Source organism: Homo sapiens, chromosome 1 (genome assembly GCF_000001405.40).
Source record: "Homo sapiens chromosome 1, GRCh38.p14 Primary Assembly".
In the NCBI taxonomy this organism is placed as follows: Eukaryota; Metazoa; Chordata; class Mammalia; order Primates; family Hominidae; genus Homo; species Homo sapiens.
Window position 1 is genome coordinate 52,137,943 of NC_000001.11, and position 23,034 is coordinate 52,160,976.

General features: G+C 43.5%; 2 protein-coding genes and 2 pseudogenes across 3 annotated transcripts in view, besides 2 other annotated features; 3 read left to right on the top strand and 1 right to left on the bottom strand.

The window, feature by feature from the left end:
* The first annotated feature begins 1,776 nt into the window (after nt 1-1,776).
* On the top strand, nt 1,777-22,836 carry LOC107984956 (collagen alpha-2(I) chain-like). Its single transcript, XM_047439476.1, has 5 exons — nt 1,777-1,858; nt 3,251-3,347; nt 3,493-3,539; nt 3,835-4,461; nt 22,175-22,836. The coding sequence occupies exons 1-5, from the start codon at nt 1,777-1,779 to the stop codon at nt 22,195-22,197; spliced, it is 876 nt and encodes a 291-aa protein (XP_047295432.1). The 3' UTR covers nt 22,198-22,836.
* Nucleotides 3,947-4,806: a silencer, noted in NCBI's record as "silent region_885". NCBI's record gives its function as "represses an Ori minimal core promoter by ATAC-STARR-seq in GM12878 lymphoblastoid cells {active_cell/tissue: GM12878}" and the evidence as "EXISTENCE:reporter gene assay evidence [ECO:0000049][PMID:35858748]".
* The window catches only part of ZFYVE9 (zinc finger FYVE-type containing 9), a 204,546-nt gene continuing 185,658 nt past the window's right edge, over nt 4,147-23,034 (top strand). For both annotated transcript variants that reach the window (NM_004799.4, NM_007324.5), the window contains exon 1: nt 4,147-4,461. The gene's annotated coding sequence lies outside the window, so the exon portion shown is untranslated. The remainder of the gene's footprint in view (nt 4,462-23,034) is intronic.
* Nucleotides 9,919-10,452: an enhancer, noted in NCBI's record as "NANOG-H3K27ac hESC enhancer chr1:52613533-52614066 (GRCh37/hg19 assembly coordinates)". NCBI's record gives its function as "activates a minimal SCP1, AML or CMV promoter by ChIP-STARR-seq in naive H9 embryonic stem cells {active_cell/tissue: H9 hESC(naive)}" and the evidence as "EXISTENCE:reporter gene assay evidence [ECO:0000049][PMID:30033119]".
* Nucleotides 12,166-12,477, top strand: RN7SL788P (RNA, 7SL, cytoplasmic 788, pseudogene; annotated as a pseudogene).
* LOC100190934 (alcohol dehydrogenase 5 (class III), chi polypeptide pseudogene) lies at nt 22,064-22,659 on the bottom strand (annotated as a pseudogene).

The window sequence follows — 23,034 nt, forward strand, 5'->3', positions numbered from 1 at the left end:
GCCTGGCATGTGGAGGTATTTTAATTTATTTATTTAGGGTTTTCCTCACATTATGTCATAAACTTACAGTAAAACCTACAATTAACATCTTTTTGCATCTATCTTTGTCCATATATTTATATTTGATTAGTTACATATCCTCATCTCCTAGAATGAGAACTGCTTTGCTAATTTTTTAAAAATAATTTTATTTTATTTTTAGAGGCAGGGTCTCACTCTGTCTCTGAGGCTGGAGTGCAGTGGGGCAATCATAGATTACTGTAACCTCAAATTCCTGGGCTCAAGCGATCCTCCTGCTTCAGCCTCCCAAGTAGCCAGGACTACAGGCTCTTGCCACCATGCCTGGTAATTTTTTTTTTCTTTTTGAGACGGAGTTTCGCTCTGTCGCCCAGTCTGGAGTGCAGTGGCACAGTCTCAGCTCACTGCAACCTCCGCCTCCTGGGTTCAAGTGATTCTCCTGCCTCAGCCTCCTGAGTAGCTGGGATCACGGACACACACCACCATGCCTGGCTAATTTTTGTATTTTTAGTAGAGACAGGGTTTCACCATGTTGGCCAGGATGGTCTTGATCTCCTGACCTCGTGGGCTGCCCACCTCGGCCTCCCAAAGTGCTAGGATTACAGGTGTGAGCCACCGTGCCCGGCCGGGAGTCTTATTTTTTGTGGGCCCTGAAATTTAAAGGAAAAGTTCTAAAAAGTCACTGAGCATGTGGGATGCAGGCTATCTACAGTCTGATGAGGGAAGTTCAGTTCAGCTTAACATCCTCTGGGGTGTACTTTGTGCTGAGACTGGTTCTAGGGACACAGATATGAATCAAACACTGAACCTGTCAAACAGGGGCTTACAATTTGGTAGGGGAGACATATAAGTAAATAGATACTGACTGTAGAGTGATGAGTAGTTACAAATTGGGAAGCACAAGGATTAATAGGAGCATGGAAGGGGTTTTGTGTCTTCCTTTAAACAAACTTTTATACAGTATTTACTTGTTTTTTTTTTTTTTGAAACTGAGTCTTGCTCTGTTGCCCAGGCTGGAGTGTAATGGTGCGATCTTGGCTCACTGCAACCTCTGCCTCTGGCGTTGAAGCGATTCTCCTGCCCCAGCCTCCCAAGAAGCTGGGATTACAGGCACTCGCCATCATGCCTGGCTAATTTTTGTATTTTTGTAGAGACAGGGTTTCACCACGTTGGCCAGACTGATCTTGAACTCCTGACCTCAGGTGATCCACATGCCTCATCCTCCCAAAGTGCTGGGATTACAGGCATGAGCCACTGCACCCGGCCAGTATTTACTCTTATATCCAAATAGAATATGCATTCATCAATTCTTCCTTTTTTTCATTCAGTTCACTTATAATTTATTGAGCATATATCCTAGACCAAAGTGAGTGGCAGTGGAGTTGGACAGGAGAAGAGAAATTTAAAAAGCAAAAAAGTAAAATTTATCAGGCTTTGTAACTACTTGCCCAGGAGAAAGACACAAGAGTTAAGAATGAATCCAAGATTTTTGGCTTGGGCATCTGGGTGGATGATGGTGCCATTCGCCAAGTCAGGAAACGGGTATCTTTTTGGCCTGAATTTTAAAAACTAATTTTAAAGAGCAAAGAATATTTTGCTTGGGGTGCTAGTGCTTAAACTCAGTTGAAAAAAGATTCTTAGAATATTGGCTTTCTACAGGATGTAGACAGTATAAAAATGAAAGTGGGGAGGTCTACCAGGTTGGGAATAGACATTTTACGGTTGCTAGCTAATAGGGGAAATCAATGAAAAATTGAGATGAGGGTAGCCAAATCAATTGACAGAAGCCCAAGGGAGATTAAAATGAACAAGAGATTTACAGTACAAGAGAGGAAAACAGGTGAGAGACATTTTAGAAGCAGAGGGCAAACTGAAAACGATGGAATGAAATTGAAGAGGATGAAATGATTTAAAGTGGACTACTCCGATCAGCGGGGAGGTTGTGATGATAAAGGCAGCTGCTTTCAGCAACAAGGAGAGAAAGTGTGAAGCAAGAGGAAACTGGTCTTGGGAACAAATGAATCATCTTCTTCATGTAGTAGCTATGCCCTGGGTTGCATGATTATTCATAAACAAATGCAGGTTTCCTGTGGTGGCAGTGATCTAGGCATGAAAAATACAGTGCTAATATTAGGTTACAGCGCTAATGATCTCAATCAGTTGAAGGGCCCTTTTCCCTTGACTAAACATTTTTTAGCAACAAATGACCCTTACAGCATTTTGTTAATATTGTTGAAAGGACTGTTGGGGCATCAGGTTGGGGACTGAAGGGAATCTCAGGGTCTACTTCCAGCTCTTCCTTAGGTTGGATATATTTCACATGTAAAATGGTAGCATAGGACCTAACTCATAGAATCACTGCGAGGATGAATCATGGTTTCCCTTTGAGCCCCAGTTTCTCTTGTTATAGAAAGGGCATAGTGATTTTTTTGTGACTCAGGAGTATGTGGCAAAGGCACACTTAGGATTATGCAGGAACAGCTTTCATTAAGAGAGCTACTAGGTGACATCTTCTCCATGGTGGCTGCTCAATTATTAAATGAATGATTCCTGGAGACCTTTTGTAGTTTCTATTATTTATCATCATTAGGCCATAACCTAAGGTAAGGTGAGATTGCCTTATAACATTTTTTATACATAAAAAATACTGGTTGCATGCTGCTATCTGCTGTGCAACAGAATGTCATAGGATCCAGTGTATGAGGCTCTATTCTTCCATGGAGGGGTGTTACATAAACCCATTAGTGAAATTTAGGGAAATTTCACCCAGACTAGGGAGGATGAAGAATGGAGCATCTATCTTTTGACAGAAATACAGTTACACACACACATACACACACACATACACACACACAGAGAGAGAGAGAGAGAGAGAGAGAATGAGAAACAAAAACAGAGGAGTACAAAATTGAGCCTAAGAAAAAGAACTGGAACCAATAAAAATTGTAACTAACATTTATTAAGTATCTTCTATGGGCCAGTCTCTTTATCTCCAATCTTCAACAACCAGCAAGGCAGGCAGGAGAAAACTGAAGTTCAAAAATGTTACATAACTTCCCCAGGGTCATAAAGCTATATATACATGACAGAACTGGAACTGGTAGTGTTGGTATGTGTCTGACACCAAAATCACTACACATTCTAGTATACCACTCTGTTAAAAAAGTGTATTTGGAAAATTTAGGGATCAGAGGATTTGGAGAATTTTCTTTCCCTACTTCCCCTCTGACAGTCGTGTTTGTTTTTGGTTCTGATGTTTGCACCCTAGAGGCTGACTGGGATCAAATATGGGGCATCTGTAAACAGAATGATTCCATAGCCCCCACTGTGTAATAATTTCCTTCCTTCAGAGCCTTACTAGGATTTGCCTGGGATGAGGGGTGGAAAGGTGGGAGAGAAGAGGTTGGGAGGGAGAGGATGTTAGTAAAAGATGGGTGATTCTTTGCTTACCTTTAAGTTGTTTATGAATTTCAGGACAACCCGTTGGCTATTCTCTTCTCTGGCTTGGCATATATATATATGTATGTATTTTTTTTTCATTTTTGTTTTGTGGGGGTGGTGGTTTAGGTGTTAAGGGTTTGGTTGATATCTGTAGAAAATTTCTTAATGATCTACACAGTAGATAAAAAAACAAGTTAAGGTCAAAGACAATTCCTTCGTCTGTTTTGGGAGACGAGTGTGTATGTTTGAAAAAAAGGTTTGTTCTGGGTCACTCTTCTTTCATCCAGACGCATTAAAGGAATTAGAAGGGGGTCTCCCTGCCACCCCCGAAACCGTGAGAGTCAAACGGAGATTCCCTTATATTCCTGCTCTCAGGTGCGGGTCCGAGTGACAAGAACGTTCACGTATCTTCGGGAGAGAACGAAAAGGTGCTCGGGTCTGGCGGGGGCGGGGAACGCCAGGGGTTGGTGGGAACTGAGGGGCTTCCGGTTCCCGGGAAGCGGAGTCCCGGGCCGGCCGCGGGCCGCGGGCTACGCAGGGAGCACGGGGCCCTCGCCGCCCCCAGGCCGCGCTCCTTAGCGTTCCCTGCGGCTCGTGCCCAGCGCGGCCGCCGCAGTCCCGACGCCGTAGCCGGACGTGGGGTCCAGGGGGCGCTGTGGCCCAGCGGCGCCGGCGGCAGGAGCGGCCACCCGACGCTGGAGGCTTCGCTGAGGATCCCCGCCTGCCGCACCTCGGTCGTCCCGCCGCAGCCTTGCGCCCCCGGCCCGGCTCGGCGGCGCTCCTCCGGGATCCGCGTGGCTGCCGCGGCCCGGGCGCCGATGCGGCTGGGCGGGTGCCGGGCCTTAGCAGCAGTAGCAGCCGCAGCTGCGGCTACCGCAGCTCCTACAGGAGTGGGAGGTTTCGCGGCGGCGCCTGGGGCCGCGCCGGTGCCCTCCGGAGGAGGCTTTCGGCTCAGGGACGACCCCCGTGGCCATGCTGAAGCGGAGGCGGCCGCTGCTCGAGGTGAGTGTGGCGCGGCGTGGTCCGGGGCTCGCCGGCCTCCCGCCGCCTGTGGGGGCCCTGGCGGCAGACCGCGGGCCGGGCGGACGGGGCGTCCTGCCACTGCGGTCGCCTCCCCCACCCTGCGGTCCTGGGGCCTCAGCCCTTTCTCCCCGCGTCCCCCGGGAGGCTGAAGGCCGTGGGGGGCGATTAGGCCCCGCGCCGTTGGGAAGCCCTCGCTCCGGCCTCGGTTCCGGCGCGGCCGGGTGTGTGGAGCTGGGGGCCGGCAGGAGCACGGCCGCCTTTCGGGTTTGCATGGGCCCGGGCCGAGCGCAGCCTCTTAGCCCGGGCCCTGCACGTACATCCCGGAGGGAGGCAGATGACGCCTGTTTGCAAACAAGCTTTGGCTTCCACGCGTCCCATACCGAGTCCCTCAGAATCCCGGTTGTGGCGGGGAAAGGGGGAGGAGAGGAAGGCCAGGGTGAGAATTGGGGGTGCAGAGAGTGCGGGACCAAGAGAGCCCCTGCTACTCCTGGAGTGTCATTCATGGATCTGGCTTGCTCGAGAACAACCTTTTGCGTCTTATTTGAGGTGAAATTTCATCACCTGCCGGTTGCTCATTCCTGCCTCTTTATATTATATCTTGCCTCTAAGCGTGGTCTGCCTTGGAGAAAGCCCCATCGCATCTTTGCGATGCTAAGTTTTGTAGATAAACACTCACAGTTATAAAAACGTCTTTTACAAAGGTCTGCCCCCCACACCCCGCCAGAAGAAATATTTTTATGCTTCAGTGTTCGGTACAAAAATGTTCCACTTAAAGAGATCCAGAGAATAGTTGGCAAAAGGATTTTAAGTCCTCTTTAAGTGCCAGCTACCCTAATAAATACCTGAAGGAAATGGGATACATGCTAAATTTTAGAAATAAAATGATTTGTTCTGATATTAATGTTGAAAATGCTACTGATTACAGTTTGATACCGTAAGTCAGATATTTATGTTTTGTGAGAAATGTGATTACAGGTTATTCTTGTTTTCCTGTTATGTATGTGAAAGTTATAAGACTTATAGGTACTTGCAAAACTTTTATAATCATGAAAAAATATGCTTATTGTAGAAAACTTGGGAATTATAGAAAGGTACCATGTTGGCTCTTAATAAATATTTAATAATAGGAGAAATCACCCATAATCTCACAGATTGTAAACAGTACAGGTTTATAATGGGCTCGTACTGACAGTGATTTTTAAAATTATTATTTCTGTATATTAGGTTTAAAATTATCTGACTGTTCCATTTTACATTGTCATTTGTATAAGACCTGTAAAAATATTTTACTAAATTACATTGGAACCATGTTGAATTCATCAATTAAAACAGAAGAATATGGGTAACTACCTAAAAGATCCCTGACTTAACCTTCTATGCAGCATGGGGTCTCCATCTAGGGAGAAAGTTTGGCATGGTACACGTTTTTGAAGACCTACTGTGTTAGATGCTGTAGCCTTGCATTGTTTTTGTCAGATTTTAAGTATTTCTTTTAAAAATTGGCTTCATTACCAGTTATTTGGGTAGGTTAATCTCGATTTTTAAAAGTCTAATTCAGGCAAAGTGTGATGGCTAGGCCTACTAGGGAGGCTGAATGGGGAGGACCCCTTGATCCTAGGAGTTCCAGTCCTGCTTGGGCAACGTAAGCAAGATGCCCCTCTCCGAGGCGGGTGGATCATGAGGTCAGAAGTTCAAGACCAGCCTGGTCAATATGGTGAAACCCCGTCTCTACTAAAAATACAAAAATTAGCTGGCATGGTGGTGCCCACCTGTAGCCCCAGCTACTCGGGAGGCTGAGGCACAAGAATCATTTGAACCTGGGAGGCAGACGTTGCAGTGAGCCAAGATTGGGCCACTGACTCTAGCCTGGGCAACAGAGCGAGACTCCATCTCAAAAAAAAAAAGTTGAATACAGTTCTCAGTGTGTCCCTCAAGACCACCAACATTAGAATCAGTTGAGAGTGCTTGTTATATATATAAGTATTATATGTAATATGCAGATTCTTGGTCCCTTGAATTGAAATTCTAGGGATGACGATGGCCCAAAGAACTTTATTTTTATCAGTCTCCCTGATTCTTAGACCTACTAAAGTTTGAGAATCACTGATACAGTAAGTTTAAAATTAACTAACCTTGCTGAGCCGAAGGAAGGTGTCTATTTTCTAGCAAAACTATAAGTCTTTAGTGGCAATAGTCATTTCTTTCTTTTTTTTTTTTTTTTACTTCCTTGCAGCTCCAGCTCAAAGGATGTCATTTTTCGTAGTAAATAATCTTAGAAAGAAAAGTGATATTTTGAGGGACAGCTGATCCAATCAGCAACCATTTATTGAGAGCCTCCTGTGATAGCTGTGGTGTGCTAAAAGAATACCTTGTCATTTACTTTGGCACTTAATGGACACCAATGTCATTGTCTGTAAAATGCATATACTTCAGTTATTATGCTTACCTTGCGAGGCTTTTAGGATAAATAAATCTGAAAAGGTATTATAATCTGTAAAAGATTTTTATACAATTTTGGCTTTTAAGTGCCAGGTCCTGTTATAGGTATTCCAGGAAACACAAAAATGACCAAGGGCTCTACTAAACTTGTCCTGTGGAAGCAGGATACCTTTAATTAACTGTTACAAGGTAGGTCAGACAAGTGTTGAAATTGAGTGGAACGTGCTAAATCTCTGTTTAAGGCTTCTGTGTCTCATCTTGCCGTTTAAGGACATTGATAATACTTTTTATGTATGATTATTCCTTTCTCTTCCAATTCCTGATTCAGTGTTTTCTTTAAGGAAATAATTGCTTATATTGCCTGGTGATAGTTTCCTATTAACTCTTTTAGAAAGGTAGAGTGAGTAGAGATGATAATTCCTTCCTCTGTTGCTAAGCTACCACTGTTCATTCCATTCAGTAAACTTTTATGTGGCACCTTGTAAACGTGCTAGCCACAGACTGGTTGCAAGGCACAAAGCTTGTTTAAAAGATAATTGCCTGGATTTTAGCTTAAGTTCTTATGTTCCTAAAGATATGGCGTATATATGTGTGTTTTATGGTTGTTAATTGCATAATGTGGTACAGAGTATGGAGTCAGATGTGAGCAGGAATCCTTACTACACCTCTTAAAGCGATGTGACATTTAGATTCTGAGTTTCTTATGTACTATTGGGGTAACACTACCCCTCCTAGCAAAGTAGAACAGGTTCCATGAGATAAAAGTAACCGAAAGCAATTAGCTCAGTGTTTGTCATGTAGGAGGTGCTCAATAAATGTACATTTCTTTCTTCCTTTTGGGAAAAACAAAAATCAGGCATTGGGATTTCTGCATGACTTAAAACTTGGTTGCTTTATTTTTTTTAGACTAAGTCTACTTTTGGGATTTGGAATTTTTTATGGAAAACAATTTCGATTTTAGTATGTTTTCCATTTCATTTTTAGCCAATAAATTAGTATTCCCTTTATATAGGGTACACTTGTTGCAAATTATTTATTTTCAGAGTTTTACATTGATCTTTAATTTTACTTGTGTATACTTGACCTGCATTATATAGAGCAACATTCTTAGTACAGTCAGATCTCTGTATCTGTGGGTCCTCCCAGCCAAGGCTCAAAAATATCCACACACACACACACACACACACACACACAAAAGTAATCATACAATAATAAAAATAATACAAATAAAAACCCAATACAGTATAACAGTTGATTTGCATAGCACTTACAATTGTATTTGGCATTGTAAGTAGTCTAGAGATTATTTAAAGTATACAGGAGGATGTTCATAGGTTATATGCAAATACTGTGCCATTTTATATAAGGGATTTGAGCATCCACAGATTGTGGTATCCTGTGGGTTCCTGGAACCAGTCCTCCACAGATACAGAGAGACAACTGTATATAATAATCATTGGAAAAGATGTAGTTGCAGGCACTGAATAGAAATAGTTCATATATTTAGTTTTCAAAAAACTCTCAATTTATTAAATTTACTTAAGAACTGTTTTCAGAACATAGATTTTTCCTTATAAACTACAGTAGGCTAGAACTAGATTTTATAGCCTGCCAGTCTTTTCTTATAACCTTGGACAAGTTTGTTACCCTCTTTAAGTCTCAATTTTCTTTTCTATAAAATGCAACTGATAATAGTCACCTTACAGGATTATTGTAAGTATTAAATGATATAATGGGTAAATCAGAGCTATAGTTCAGTCCCATGAGTCCTGGTAAATCCGGACTCTGGAATTGGAAAATATATTTCTCTGAGTTTTGAAAAAAAGAGGTTGAAAGATTGTTAATTATTTATGTAGTTTACTATTAATAAGTAAAATCAGCATAATCTAATTTTGAAGTATTAGAGATTGCTAAATTAAGGAGGAACCAAGGTGTCAGTAGAATTAGCATTTAGTTATGTAGTAGAATACCTTATATTTTATAATGGTAAAATTTATTTAATAAAATAATTTGAAAAGTGCTGTTTTTACAGGTTGAGCATCCCTAATCCAAAAGTCTGAAATTCGAAATGCTCAAAGGTCCAAAACTTTTTGAGCACTGACATGATCTCACAAGTGGAAAAATTCCACGCCTGATCTCATGTGATGGGTCACAATCAAAATGGTCAAAACTTTGTTTCATGTACAAAATTATTAAAAATAGTGTATAAAGTTACCTTTAGGCTATGCGTATAAGTATACATGAAACAAATGAATTTTGTGTTTAGACTTGCGTCAGAATTCTAATCTGTCCCAAATGCTTCTGGTTCCAAGTATTTTAGATAAGGGATACTCAACGCATAAAGTATTTTCTATTTTACAAATTAATTAATACTTATATTTTTCTTTTAAATTATGGTAAATAGCCCATTTACGGAACTGGAAAAGTTAGAACAGTATTATATATTCACAGAGTTGTGCAAACATCACTGCTGTCTAATTTTAGAACATTTTAATCACTCCAAAGAGAAACTTGTACCCATTAACAGTCACTCCCAGGATCTCCCTAATCCTCCCAGCCCTAGGCAACCGCTAATGTACTTTCTGCCTCTATGGATTTGCCTATCGAGACATTTCATGTAAGTGGAATCATACGATATATGACTGGTTTCTCTTACTTAGCATAATAGTTTTAGGGTTCAGTAGCAAGTGTCAGTACTTCATTTCTTTTTATTGCTGAATAATATTCCATTGTATGGAAATACCACATTTTATTCATCAGTTAGGGCTGTTTCCACTTTTTGGCTACTATAAATAATGTTGTTGTGAACATTCATGTGCAAATTATTGTGTGGAAATATGCTTTCATTTCTCTTGGGTATTTATAGGGATGGAATTGCTGGGCCAAATGGTAGCTGTATGTTTAACCTTTCGAGAAACTATCAGATTGTTTTTACAAAGTAGCTGCACCTTTTTACAATCCCACCTGCGTTGTATGAAGGTTCCAATTTCTTCACGTCCTCACCAACACTTGTTATCTGTTTTTTTGATTATAACCATCCTAATGAGTGTGAAGTGGTAATGTAAGGCTCTATCTGCGGTTCATAACTTTTTTTTTTTCAATAGAGGCGAGGTTTCATTATGTTGGCTAGGCTGGTCTGGAGCTACTAACCTCAAATGATCCACCCACAGCCTCCCAAAGTGCTGGGATTACAGGCATGAGCCACCATGCTCCTGGTTAATAACTTTTATTTACAGTCATTAGGTAAATTGTTGAAGCTTTTACTTGCAGATGCATTGCCAGATTCTTTGATGATAGGGAATGTTTTTGGCCTGAGGATAAAAGTTGTAGGCCAGGCGCTGTGGCTCACGCCTGTAATCCCAGCACTTTGGGAGGCTGAGGTGGGCCGATCGCCTGAGGTCAGGAGTTCGAGACCAGCCTGGCCAATATGGTGAAACTCTGTCTCTCCTGAAAATACAAGCCTTTCGGTTCAAAATCACCACTATATGGTGGCAGATACCTGTAATCCCAGCTACTTGGGAGGCTGAGACAGGAGAATTGCTTGAACCAGGGAGGCGGAGGTTGCAGTGAGCCAAGACTGCACCATTGCACTCCAGCCTGGGCAAGAAGAGCGAAACTCCATCTCAAAAACAAAAAAAGCTGTAAACTTTCTAGTTTCCTGTTTAGTAAACAGTGAACTCTGGTTAATAGAACTGATTAACCACATTGGGTGGTGATAGGAATGGTGGTGTGAGGACTTCAGCTGTATAAAAGGCTGTCTTCTATTAATATGAATATTTCTTTCTTTTTTTTTTTTGAGATGGAGTCTTGCTCTGTTGCCCAGGCTGGAGTGCGGTGGCGCAGTCTTGGCTCACTGCAACCTCTGTCTCCCAGATTCAAGCGATCCTCCTGCCTCAACCTCCCTGGTAGCGGGGACTACAGGTGCGCGCCACCATGCCTGGATAAGTTTTGTAATTTTAGTAGCGACGGGATTTCACCATGTTGGCCAGGCCGGTCTCAAACTGACCTCAAGTGATCTGCCTGCCTTGGCCTCCCAAAGTGCTGGGATTACAGGAATGAGCCACTGTTCCCAGCCTTAACATGATTTTTTTTTTTTTTTTTTTTTTTTTTTTTTTTTTTGAGATAGACTCTCGCTCTGTCAACCAGGCTAGAGTGCAGTAGTGTGATCTTGGCTCACTGTAACCTCCACCTCCCAGTTCAAACAATTCTCCTGACCCAGCCTCTCGAGTAGCTGTTACTACAGGCGCCTGTCACTATGCACCGCTAATTTTTGTATTTTGAGTAGAGATGGGGTTTTGCCGTGTTGACCAGGCTGATCTTGAACATGTAGAATGAAGGTCTAAAACTTGCACTTTGTTTACTCAAACAATGGTTCCCTGTAGTATTTCCTAACTGGTTTGAAAAAAAACTTTAGAAACATTAGCAAGTAATTATTGCTGACTTTGAACTATGTCCTAAAAAACCTCATAGGAAGGCTTTAATACCTTGAATGAGTGCTGGGATTACAGACGTGAGCCACCGCGCCTGGGCAATATGAATATTTCTTAAGAAAAGGCAATTGTAATGCCTGAGTTTAGTTTTTCTTTAACTCTACTGAAACATTTCTAAAAATTTACAGTCTAGTTTCATATTAACATTTCTAGGCAGTCAGGCATGACAGATTTTAAGAATTGCCGTTACCTCTCAATGATACATAATTTTATATAAATACAAATGTCATTGTTTGTCTTGTATGTAGAATATTACCCGATGTTTTGGTTACTCATTCAAGGTATGCCCTGCCACCACGCGTGGCTAATTTTTGTATTTTTAGTAGAGACGGGGTTTCACTATCTTGGCCAGGCTGGTCTTGAACTCCTGACCTCGTGATCCACCTGCTTTGGCCTCCCAAAGTGCTGGGATTACAGGTGTGAGCCACTGCCCGGCCTGTAGTGGTGATTTTAAGCTGAAAGGCTTGTTCTGGTTTATTATACAATCTTTTAGTTCCTTTGGATGATATAGTTTCCGTATAAAGTTACAAAAACAGTAGTTCTGGAGCCTTTCTGGTAGGATTAATGAAAAGATATGCATTTCTGTTTGCAATATAGTTTGGTTCTTTTCTAACCTTTCATGATTAAAGTTTGCTGTTTATCTGTGAGATTTCATTTTATTAAAATGAAGAAAGAGTAAATTGTACATATTTTTATATGTTACATAGCCCAACAGAGTCTATCTCAAAATTCTCTTTACTAAAATAAACTGACTGGTGTGGTGGCATGTGCGTCTAGTCTCAGTTACTTGGGAGGCTGAGGCGGGAAGATTGCCTGAGCCCAGGAGTTCTGGGCTGTAGTGTGCTATGCTGATCAGTGTTTGCACTAAGTTTGGCATCAGTATGGTGACCTCCTGAGAGGGGGTGACCTCCTGGAAGTCGGAGACCACCAGGTTGCCTAAGGAGGGGTGAACTGGCCCAGGCTGGGAATGGAGCAGCTCAAAACTCCCATGCTGATCAGTAGTGGGATCATGTCTGAGAATAGCCACCCCACTCCAGCCTGGGCAACATAGTGAGACCTAATCTCTAAATAGATAGATAGATAGATGATAGATGATAGCTAGATAGATAGCTAGATAGATGAGATATATAGGGCCAGGCACGGTGGCTCATGCCTGTAATCCCAACGCTTTGGGAGGCCGAGGTGGATGGATCGCTTGAGGTCAGGAATTCAAGATCAGCCTGGCCAACATTGTGAAACCCTGTCTCTACTAAAAATACAAAAATTGGCTGGGCGTGGCGTTGGGCCCCTGTAATCTCAGTTACTCAGGAGGCTGAGGCAGGAGAATCGCTTGAACCTGGGAACCCGGAGGGGAGGTGCAGTGAGCCGAGATCACGCCACTGCACGCCAGCCTGGGCAACAGGGGAACATACTGTCTTAAAAAAAAAAAAAAAGAAGAAAAGATAGAACAAGCAATGTCAAAATTTTGTAAAAACACCCTGTCAGGATTTATACAAACTTTAATCTCCATTTTTCATTTTCAGTTGAGCAGGAGAAACAGTCCCTAAAAGGTAATTAAAATAAAACACTGCCAGTTTGAAACTTGAACTTCACAGTACATCATGTAGGCCTTTTTGTGATTCTGGTGATAATTGTCTTTTTTTTTTTTTTTTTAGTAGTAGTAGCCGAGGTAAATTATTTTTGAAGTTATTGTGAGGTCACTCATGGAAATTTCTGCTCAGTGTTTAAAAAGCAAGGTTGAGATTCTTTAACCTGGCATACAGCCTTCATGATTTGGTTCCAAGCTGATCATTCCTCCCTCCTGTTTTTGCATCCTGTTCTTCCAAGATTCCAGGTTTATGGAGTTTTCCTTGATTCTTTTACCTTGTATTACTTTTTGTGGAATATAAAAGCTTTCCCTGTAGTGTGCCATCTTTCTGGTAAGTGTTTCACATATGTTATTTGTAACTCTTACTAAGGATATTATAAGGTCATTATATTATTATGCATTTTACAGCTGAGGGAACTGAGGCTTGGAGAGTTTTATTGATTTTCCTAAGCTTAAGCCCACATTGATGATTCAAACTTATATATCAAGCTCATATATCTCTGACTAGAAAGTCCACACTCTTTTTTCATCCTGTGAATCTTGTCCTGTGTCTATGTGTGTGTGTATGTGTGTTTTTTCTTTTTTTTTTTTTGAGATGGGGTCTCGCTCTGTCATCCAGGCTGGAGTGCAGTGGTGTGGTCTCGGCTCACTGCAACCTCTGCCTCCCGGGTTCAAGCAATTCTCCTGCCTCAGCCTCCCGAGTAGCTGGGACTACAGGCACCCACCACTACACCTGGCTAATTTTTTGTATTTTTAGTAGAGACAAGGTTTCACCATGTTGGTCAGGCTGGTCTGGAACTCCTGACCTCAAGTGATCCACCCGCCTCGGCCTCCCAAAGTGCTGGGATTAGAGACATGAGCCACCTCTCTGAGCCCATCCAGGATTTCTAAAGTATGTTCCCTAGGAGCAAGGAGATGTTCTTTAGTCAAATAAGTTTGGGTTTTCAGCTTACTATATATCCCTTAGGTAGAAGTTTGCAAATGCACGTTAGTATTCTAAAGACTGAGGAGTGGAAGAAACTTGTTTAACTTTGTTCAGCTATGTATTACCCCAATTTTTTTTTTGAGATGGAGTTTTGCTCTTGTTACCCAGGCTGGAGTGCAGTGGCACCATCTTGGTTAACTGCAACCTCCGCCTTCCAGGTTCAAATAATTCTCCTGCCTCAGCCTCCTGATTAGCTGGGATTACAGGCATGCACCACCATGTCTGGCTAATTTTTGTATTTTTAGTAGAGATGGGATTTCACCATGTTGGCCAGGCTGATCTCGAACTCCTGACCTCAGATGATCCACCTGCCTCAGCCTCCTAAAGTACTGGGATTACAGGCATGAGCCAGTGTGCCTGGCTATATTACCCAAACTTATTTGGTTGTGGAACCCCTTTTTTCCACGTAGGCCTTAGTAATTAATACCCTTTACTGATGTAGGTCAACTTTTACCTGTTTTTTAAAGTCTCACCCTCACCGTATCCGAGACTTTGAACTCTCAGATGATAGGCCCTGATTACTTCCTGAAGGTGCTCATTCTGCACGTTATTAGAATATTAGCAGTATTATTTCTTTTTATATTCAGCCAAAAATCTAGCTTTTTTTCTAGTATATATCCTTTTGCTCTTTTACTCTTTAAAATTACACAGAATAAATAATCACTCTTAATATCTAAAGATGACAAGACAGTATCCTGTCTCTCCCAGCATAGTGATTAAATTACAGGCTCTAGAGTCAAACTGTCTGGGTTCAAATTTAATTCTCCTTTCACTTTGTGATCTTGGGCAAGTTAATAACTTCTTTGTGCTTCAGTTTTCTCACCTGTAAAATGGGACTAACAATAATACATCAGTGGGTTAAATAAACAGATACATGTAAAGAGCTAAGTACATAGTGTATTGGTTCAGGTCCGCTGGGAAGCAGACGTTGAAATGGATGTAGTAGCACAAGAGGTTTTATGGGATGGAATGCCTATGAAAGGAAATGGGGAGAAAGCAGAATTGCCTAGGGAGAGCCTCAGTCTGTGATGCAGATCTGAAAAAATCTCAGTCAACCTAACAGGGAACTTCAGAGCACATATTGCCTGTTAGAGGAGGCCTGCATGGGCAGAAATGGCCAGATTTTAGTACACCCACCATGTTTAGTCACTGGCTAGAGCTGCCCAAGGAGAGCATGGTCATGACTGGGAAGCTGAGATGAATTCTGAACATGCTGCAGCTGGAGGCTGTTAGCTAACCAAACTCCTTGGACCTGAATGGCAATTCTTTTTTGAAGGAAGATCCAAGTGATTGCTACAGTCCATTCCTCATGATGCACAGATCCATATCTTCACAGTTTCTGAGAGCAGCTCCTCCAAGGGAGGAAATGTAGAAAGAGATTAGTGAGACAGGCCTCAGGCTCATCACTGTAGCTGGTCTCAGAGCCACAAAGTTCTAGAGCCATCTCCACTATGTAGTCTAAATTGCCCTTGCCCTCAGCTATCATTTCTGCTGGTGTTGGTTGTTTACCTAGTGGTTTGACCCAAACCCTCATTTCTGAGGGGTCTGAGACTGGAGTGGTTGCATTTGCCCATTCATAGTCACTACTGGGCAGGGAGTATTAAGTGGTATCCTAGGGAATCATCTGAGTCCCACACATATTCTTTCTTGTTCCCTTTGTGTAACGGCAGCCCTACTTCCTCCTGAGGATGAGGGTTAATTAATCTTGCCAAGATGGGCATTCCTCTTACTGCTTTCTAGTCCTTGGACACAAGGAATACTCAGTATTCAGGCTGCAGCTGTAAATTGTAGTTCACTGTGACCTTTCATGTGTCTCTTGGCAAAAGTGTGCCCGCTTTGGGTGCCAGGACTTCTAACTCCGTAGAGCCCCACATTGCAGAGATGGGAAGCACAAAGTAGATCATTGGGAATGATGGCGAGTAGGGGCTATTTCCCTTTCCACTTCTTGGTTCTCAGACCCATGTATTCTTCTTACTGGGAACCTAGCTCTAAATCAGTGCATGTACTGCATACAAGAGGATAGCACACCATTTTTGTCTCTGAGCTAGTACATTAGCTGTGCCTGCAGCAGGCCATTCCAATACTCTCTAAGACTGGTCCTTTTGTATGGAGCTGTTATGGATATAACTACTGGAGCTTATGGTTATGGGCCTACTGCCACAAATCTTTCACTGTGAAGTGATTCCCTTGGCTGGATTCCATGTCTGTTGATTAAGTGCTGTATAAGTCTATATTTAGTGGTACTGGCTAGGTCTCTATGGACAGGAAAGGCAAACCCATACCTGGAATAAATGTCTAATCCTGTGAAGATCAATCACTGGCCCATCCAAGATGGAAGAGGCCCAGTGTAGTCAGCTTACCACTTAATAGTCTGTTGGTCTGCCTGAGGCATAATGCTATATGGGGGCTTGGTGTTGGTCTTTGTTGCTCATAGGTTGGATGTTCAGAGTTGGCCTTGGTAAATGGGAGTCCATGTCTCCTTCTCTGCTTCCATCTCTATTTCTGCCACAGTGACCTCTCCATTTATGTCCCCATCTTGCCACTTCTGGGTGACCGATGTCAGCTAGTTGAGTCATTTTGTCTCCTTGGCTGTTCATTGGCTCTTCTGTATTGGATACTTTCTGGTGGGCATTAACACATGAAACAAAGATTTTCATACTTTCCACCCACTCCCATATATTCATTCATTTCCCTCCACCCATACCCCTTGCCTTTGTCCTTCTCCTTAAAGGCCTCTAACCAGTTGGCCAGTCTACTTGCCATTGCCCGTGAGTCTATATATTCTCACCCCAGGCCACTTTTCTTTCTGCATAAAATTCATAACCAGGTGCACGACTCAAAGCTCTGTCTGTTAAGAAGATTTTCCCTTTTCATTGTCAAGGTCACCCCTAAGTGTGGCTATAATGAACTCCGTTGTTTTTTTCAGCTTGCATTCACATACTGAGCTGACCTACTTATAAGCAAAACTTTGGCTTTTTTCTCCTTCTTAAGTTGGTCTTATAGGATACCCCAAATAGCTATAGATGTGAGCTGAGGAAATGGTGCTAGTATGGTGAGTGCCAGGGAAGTCTTGGCTGCCTGCTTATAGCAGTCTTCTTGTGCCTTTTGGTTCTGTTTCATTTTGATCCTTGATGTGCCATTCCTATCTTATAATGGATTGCTGCTATGCTCACCTGGCTTTATGACCTGGCGAGTCCTAGTGAATGCAGATCATTATGGAAAGTCTGGACACATGGTGCCCAGTGATGAAGCATTGTATCTCTTAATAGGACACAGTTGCACACCAGGAGCTGTTTTTCTTTTTTTTCTTTTTTTTTTTTTTTTTTTGAGACGGAGTCTCGCTGTCGCCCAGGCTGGAGTGCAGTGGCGCGATTTCGGCTCACTGCAGGCTCCGCCCCCCGGGGTTCATGCCATTCTCCTGCCTCAGCCTCCCGAGTAGCTGGGACTACAGGCGCCCACCACCTCGCCCAGCTAATTTTTTGTATTTTTAGTAGAGACGGGGTTTCACTGTGTTAGCCAGGATGGTCTCGATCTCCTGACCTCGTGGTCCACCCGCCTCGGCCTCCCAAAGTGCTGGGATTACAGGCGTGAGCCACCACGCCCGGCCACAGGAGCTGTTTTTCTAATAGCATGGCCTTCCTGCAGAACTCTAGGGGCCTGCATTTTGATTCTCTTCCTTGCTATAAACTCTACACTGCATCTTTTCCCACCATTGGTACCTCCAACAGCATAGGGATTGCTTGCACTACAGCCTGGACTTGCTGCAGAGTTGTTGCCCCTACTCAATACTAGCAGCCTTTCATGTCAACCAGTATATGGGCCACAGTGGTATTCCTGGATATAGAATGTGTTACTTCTAGAATCTGAAGGAGCCTACCAGACATTGTGCTTCCTTTTTTGTAGTTGGGGATGCAAGATGCAGCAATTTGTCTTTTGCTTTGGAGGGGATGTGTTGGCATGATTGCGACCACTGGACTCTTAAAACTTTGCTGAAATGGAAGATCCCTGAATATTGGTAGGGTTTTTCTTTACCCTCTTTGGAACACATGTACCCCACCAAGTTCTTCAGTATGCTAGCCACCTCTTGCTCATCTTGCAAGATCAACATGTATCACTGACGTGATGGATCTATATGCTTTGAGTCCAGATCTCTGCAGACTATTATGATAGAGTGGAGTTAACATAGCCCCAAAGCAAAACCATGAATGCATTTTATTGTTTGTTCCATGTGAAAGTGAACTGCTTCTGATCCTCTTTTCTGATTAGGATAGAAAGGAACTTATTTGCCATATAAATGGCTGCATGCTGTGTACCCAAGGCTATATTTATCTGCTACAACAAACATACTACATCTAGCATGGCAATGTGGTCATGGCTGCTACTTGTTTGAGCTTGTGGTAGATCCAACTGGTTCCTGCAGGGGCTAGACTTTTGAATTACATGGATATATATAGGGACTACTGCCCTTGAATCTTTGAGATCCTTAAAGGTGACACTCATCATTGCCATTCCCTTTACCTCTGCCCCCTACACAATTTTGGTTTTGATTTACACCCAGGGGACGGAGAGCTATTTTCAGAAGGTTTCACTTGGCCATTCTCTGTCTGATAGCTCTTACTCCTCAGGTCAAAGACCCGGGGTGGGAGTTACCCCCAACTGCCAAGTATGCCAATCCCATTTATACATTGAGGGACTGGGGAAGTGACTGCTGGGTAGGTCTGTGGACCAGTGGACCCATTAAAAGCTAGACTTTGGCCAGGACTCCATTTATTACTTGGTTCCTGTATTTCTACTGCTATAATAGGGCCACAATGATGCTCCATGTTTCTGTATACCAATATCAAGTCAGACTCTGTGACCCATAGTCTTTGAAATGTCTGGGTATTTTCCTTTCCCCACTTTAGTGACATTCTTTTTTTTTTTTTTGAGACGGAGTCTCGCTGTCGCCCAGGCTGGAGTGCAGTGGCATGATCTTGGCTCACTGCAAGCTCTGCCTCTCGGGTTCACACCATTCTCTTGCCTCAGCCTCCCGAGTAGCTGGGACTACAGGCGCCCGCCACCTCGCCCGGCTAAATTTTTGTATTTTTAGTAGAGACGGGGTTTCACCGTGTTAGCCAGGATGGTCTTGATCTCCTGACCTCGTGATCCGCCTGCCTCGGCCTCCGAAAGTGCTGGGATTACAGGCGTGAGCCACCGCACCCGGCCTCCTTCCCCACTTTATAGTTGCCTGAGTAAATGGCCATAGGTTCCTTTCGGGATGGACTTGGGAATAATTTTACATATATATATGAGTTTAGATGTGAAAACTGGCTCAGGTCCAGGAACTGGGAAAGGGATAGTAGGTTTTTATTGGTGCAATCACCCTCAGCCTCCTGCTTATCCAATTCTGGCCTTGTTTTGATTATATATATTAAGCAGCACTGATTTTGACTATCTGTCTGTTTTTTTCCTTATGGCACCATATTCTCTTTTTTTTTTTTTTTTTTTTTTTTGAGATGGAGTCTCACTCTGTTGCCCAGGCTGTAGTGCAGTGGTGTGGTCTCAGCTCACTGCAACCTCCACCTCCCCGTGTTCAAGTGATTCTCCTGCCTCAGCCTCCCCAGCAGTTGGGATGACAGGTGCCCACCACCACACCTGGCTAATTTTTGTATTTTTAGTAGAGACGGGGGTTTTCACTATGTTGGCCAGGCTGGTCTTGAATTCCTGACCTTAAGTGATCCACCCACCTCAGCCTCCCAGAGTGTGCTGGGATTACAGGAATGAGCCACATTGCCCAGCCTGCACCATATTCTCTTAACTATCTCCACAGCTCCCTGAAAGTTAAGTCTTATTGGCTGTCTTTCAACATGAATCATAATGGTAAGAGTTCACTAGCTTCTGGTGTTTAAGTGCCACCACCTGGCCCCTATTGCTATCAATGAGCCTTTCCTTTAGAGGAGCGCCACCACTGAACTTCTTAGTGATGCTGGTGCCTCTCTCCCCAGTATATTCCTGATAGCTTTGATGCATGGTCTTCTCTCCTCACATGGTATACACAGCTCTATCATACCCACTTTCCTGAGCTTTTTAATCCTGTCCTCTGCTCTCTGCTATGTCAATTCAGTCATTTCAGCCTGACTTAGGTTGGGCCATCATTTTCTCCAGGCTGCTAGGAGCCACCCTGACAGCAAGTTTATGCCATCTCCCAGGTCCCTGCCACAGTGTTAATTCTCATATCCTGAGACAGCCCCTTTCTCAACCAGTAAACTTGACCTTACTCAGTCTAATGTTCCTGCTTGCTTAAGCACCTTGAAAATCTAGCACTGTGGTTTATGCCAGTCCTGCTGGTACCCTGGCTAATTCTTGCCATTCTTTTGGGGATTATAGTCTCTGTTCTCCTTTATGAGGTCCAAGATGTCCTTGGCAGGGTTAGCACTAGCTATTATCATGGCATCTAGGAATGCAGATAGGGACAGATCCTGAGGGAGCCCCTGTGTTGCCTTGCAGGTGACAGACCTCTGAAGTGTGCTGCTGCGCAGCAGGGAGTGCTAACTCATCCCTGAAGACTCAGAGTTCAAAGGATTTGGAAATGACAATCTTTGGGGGCAGCCATCTATCCGTAACCTGTCTATCAGGCTTCTAGGTTTTCCAAATCAGGATCCTGACCTTGGCGTAACAAACCTGCCTTGGCTGAGCATTCAGCCACCGTGAAGCAGTGGTCTGTAGCCATCCTGAGTTTGTTCTTCATCTTTTACTGCCTCCCTTCGTAGGTGATAAGGACCTGTTTGTGAGCTACCAAAGAGCCCTCTGACCTTCACGCTTAGTTTTCAGTTGTTTGTTAGCTGCCCTTTCTAGGGAGCCTGGGCAATCTAACAGCTAGCCAACTTTATTGTTCTTGTATTTTTTTTTTTTTTTGAAACTGAGTCACCCAGGTTGGAGTGCAGTGGCACGATCTTGGCTCACTGTAAGCTCCGCCTCCCAGGTTCACGCCATTCTCCTGCCTCAGCCTCCTGAGCAGCTGGGACTACAGGCGCCTGCCACCATGCCCGGCTAATTTTTTGTATTTTTAGTAGAGACGGGGTTTCACCATGTTGGCCAGGATGGTCTCGATCTCCTGACCTCGTGATCCGCCCGCCTCGGCCTCCCAAACTGCTGGGATTACAGGCATGAGCCACCGCGCCCGGCTATTCTTGTATGTTTTGTGTTCCCCTTCCCAAATATCTGAATCTTTACACCAGTTTGAGTGTTCCTCTCTGGGAACATTCTCCCAAGTCACAACTTGCGTGTTAACACTTGGGCCACCAGCTTGTGCCAGGGCCTGTCATGCCTCACATACCACCTGGGATGAGAGCTTCATTGTCAGTTGGGCAGTAAGTTATCTAATTCCTAAGCCCCATCTTAGCTCCTGCTTTCTTAGTCAATTTCTGGTACCAGCTGTGCCAGTTTGAGTCCTTCAGGAAGCAGCTGCTGAGACAGGACTATAAGAGATACATGAAGTAGGAGAGGACTTCCGTGAAAGGAAAGGGAGAGGAGGCACAATTGTCAGGGAGAGTCTCAGAGTGCGATGCAGGTCTGACAGAGTCTCAGACAACACAGTGAAGACTTGAACAAAAATTGTTCATTAAAGGAGTCCTGCATTGGACAGAAGTGGCCAGGCCTTAGTGCCTATGTTATGAGTAGTCATTGGGTGGGGCTGCCCAGGAAGAGTGTGACTTCAGCTTGAAAGCTGGGCATCCTGAAGGGACTGCAGTAGGAGGCTGTCAGCTAACTGTGCACCTAGAAGCTTATTGGAAAGTTATTTCATAAAGGTTGATATAAGCGACATACCTCCATGGCTGCAACATGTAATAAGCAAATGTTTATTGTTAGGATGATTTTGATGACATTTTTCTTTTTCTTTTTTTTTTTGAGATGGAGTCTCGCTCTGTCACCCAGGCTGGAGTGCAGTGGCGAGATCTCGGCTCACTGCAAGCTCCGCCTCCCAGGTTCACGCTGTTCTCCTGCCTCAGCCTCCTGAGTAGCTGGGACTACAGGCACCCGCCACCATGCCCGGCTAATTTTTTTGTATTTTTAGTAGAGTCGGGGTTTCTTTTTTTTTTGGTAGAAATTACTTTTATGTTAAAATATTCATTAATAAGCTAGCAATTATTCATGTGAAGGAGCGTCCAGAAAACAGGTTCATGACTGAATTATCCTTGTCCTTGATTATAGAGATTCATGAATTACACACATAACACTATTCTCTGGAGTAGCTGTGAAGCTCTACGAGGCTGTGAGGTTGGAGGCGCTTCTCCCTGCCTGTTAAGCTGCTCCCATCGCATCACGACAGGATGGACTTTATTTTTCTCTTTTCAATTAAATCTTTACAACAGTTCGAATGCTCTTTCCAGAATGCATCAGTTCAAAGGCTTTGTTGATTTCCTCAAAAGACAGATTGTGAGTCACAAATTCATCAACTTTTATCTTTTTGGACATATATTCAGACACCAACTTTGGGACACTTTCTACATTCTTCCATCCTCCAAAGGCAGTGCCTTTCTATGTGTGACCTGTTACCAGCTGGAATGGACGAGTGGCAGTTTCTTCACCTGAAGCGGCTACTCTAGCCACCACGCTGATGCCCCAGCCCTTGTGACACGCCTCAAGTGCTGCTCTCATGACCTTCACATTACCAATACATTCAAAGGAATAGTCCATAGAGTCGGGCACCGTGTTAGCCAGGATGGTGTTGATCTCCTGACCTCGTGATCCGCCTGCGTCGGCCTCCTGCAGTGCTGGGATTACAGGCGTGAGCCACTGTGCCCGGCCTTGATGACATTTTTCTAAGTTGCTTTGATTCTTTATGAATAAAAACCTTTTAGACATTTTTCTTATTTTCTCTTGAATGTGTTTTTGTTTGTTAATATGTAATATTAACTGAAATTGAAAACAATATTTCAGTGTGGTCTGGCACATAGTAGGTGTCCAGGGAATGTTGGTTGAAATGAACCATGCAGTTGATCAGTATAGCATAGAACATGATAATCCCCACTCTCCTTATTCTGGACATTTCTAGTGCAGTTTGAGATTGC

What these genes read in the sequence shown, in the direction of transcription:
- LOC107984956 (XM_047439476.1), top strand. Translation starts at nt 1,777, where the DNA reads ATGAGGGTAGCCAAATCAATTGACAGAAGCCCAAGGGAGATTAAAATG. An exon ending in GATTCCATAGCCCCCACTGT is followed by an intron (nt 3,348 to 3,492) that starts GTAATAATTTCC and finishes TATGAATTTCAG; the next exon opens with GACAACCCGTTGGCTATTCT. An exon ending in GGCTTGGCATATATATATAT is followed by an intron (nt 3,540 to 3,834) that starts GTATGTATTTTT and finishes TCCTGCTCTCAG; the next exon opens with GTGCGGGTCCGAGTGACAAG.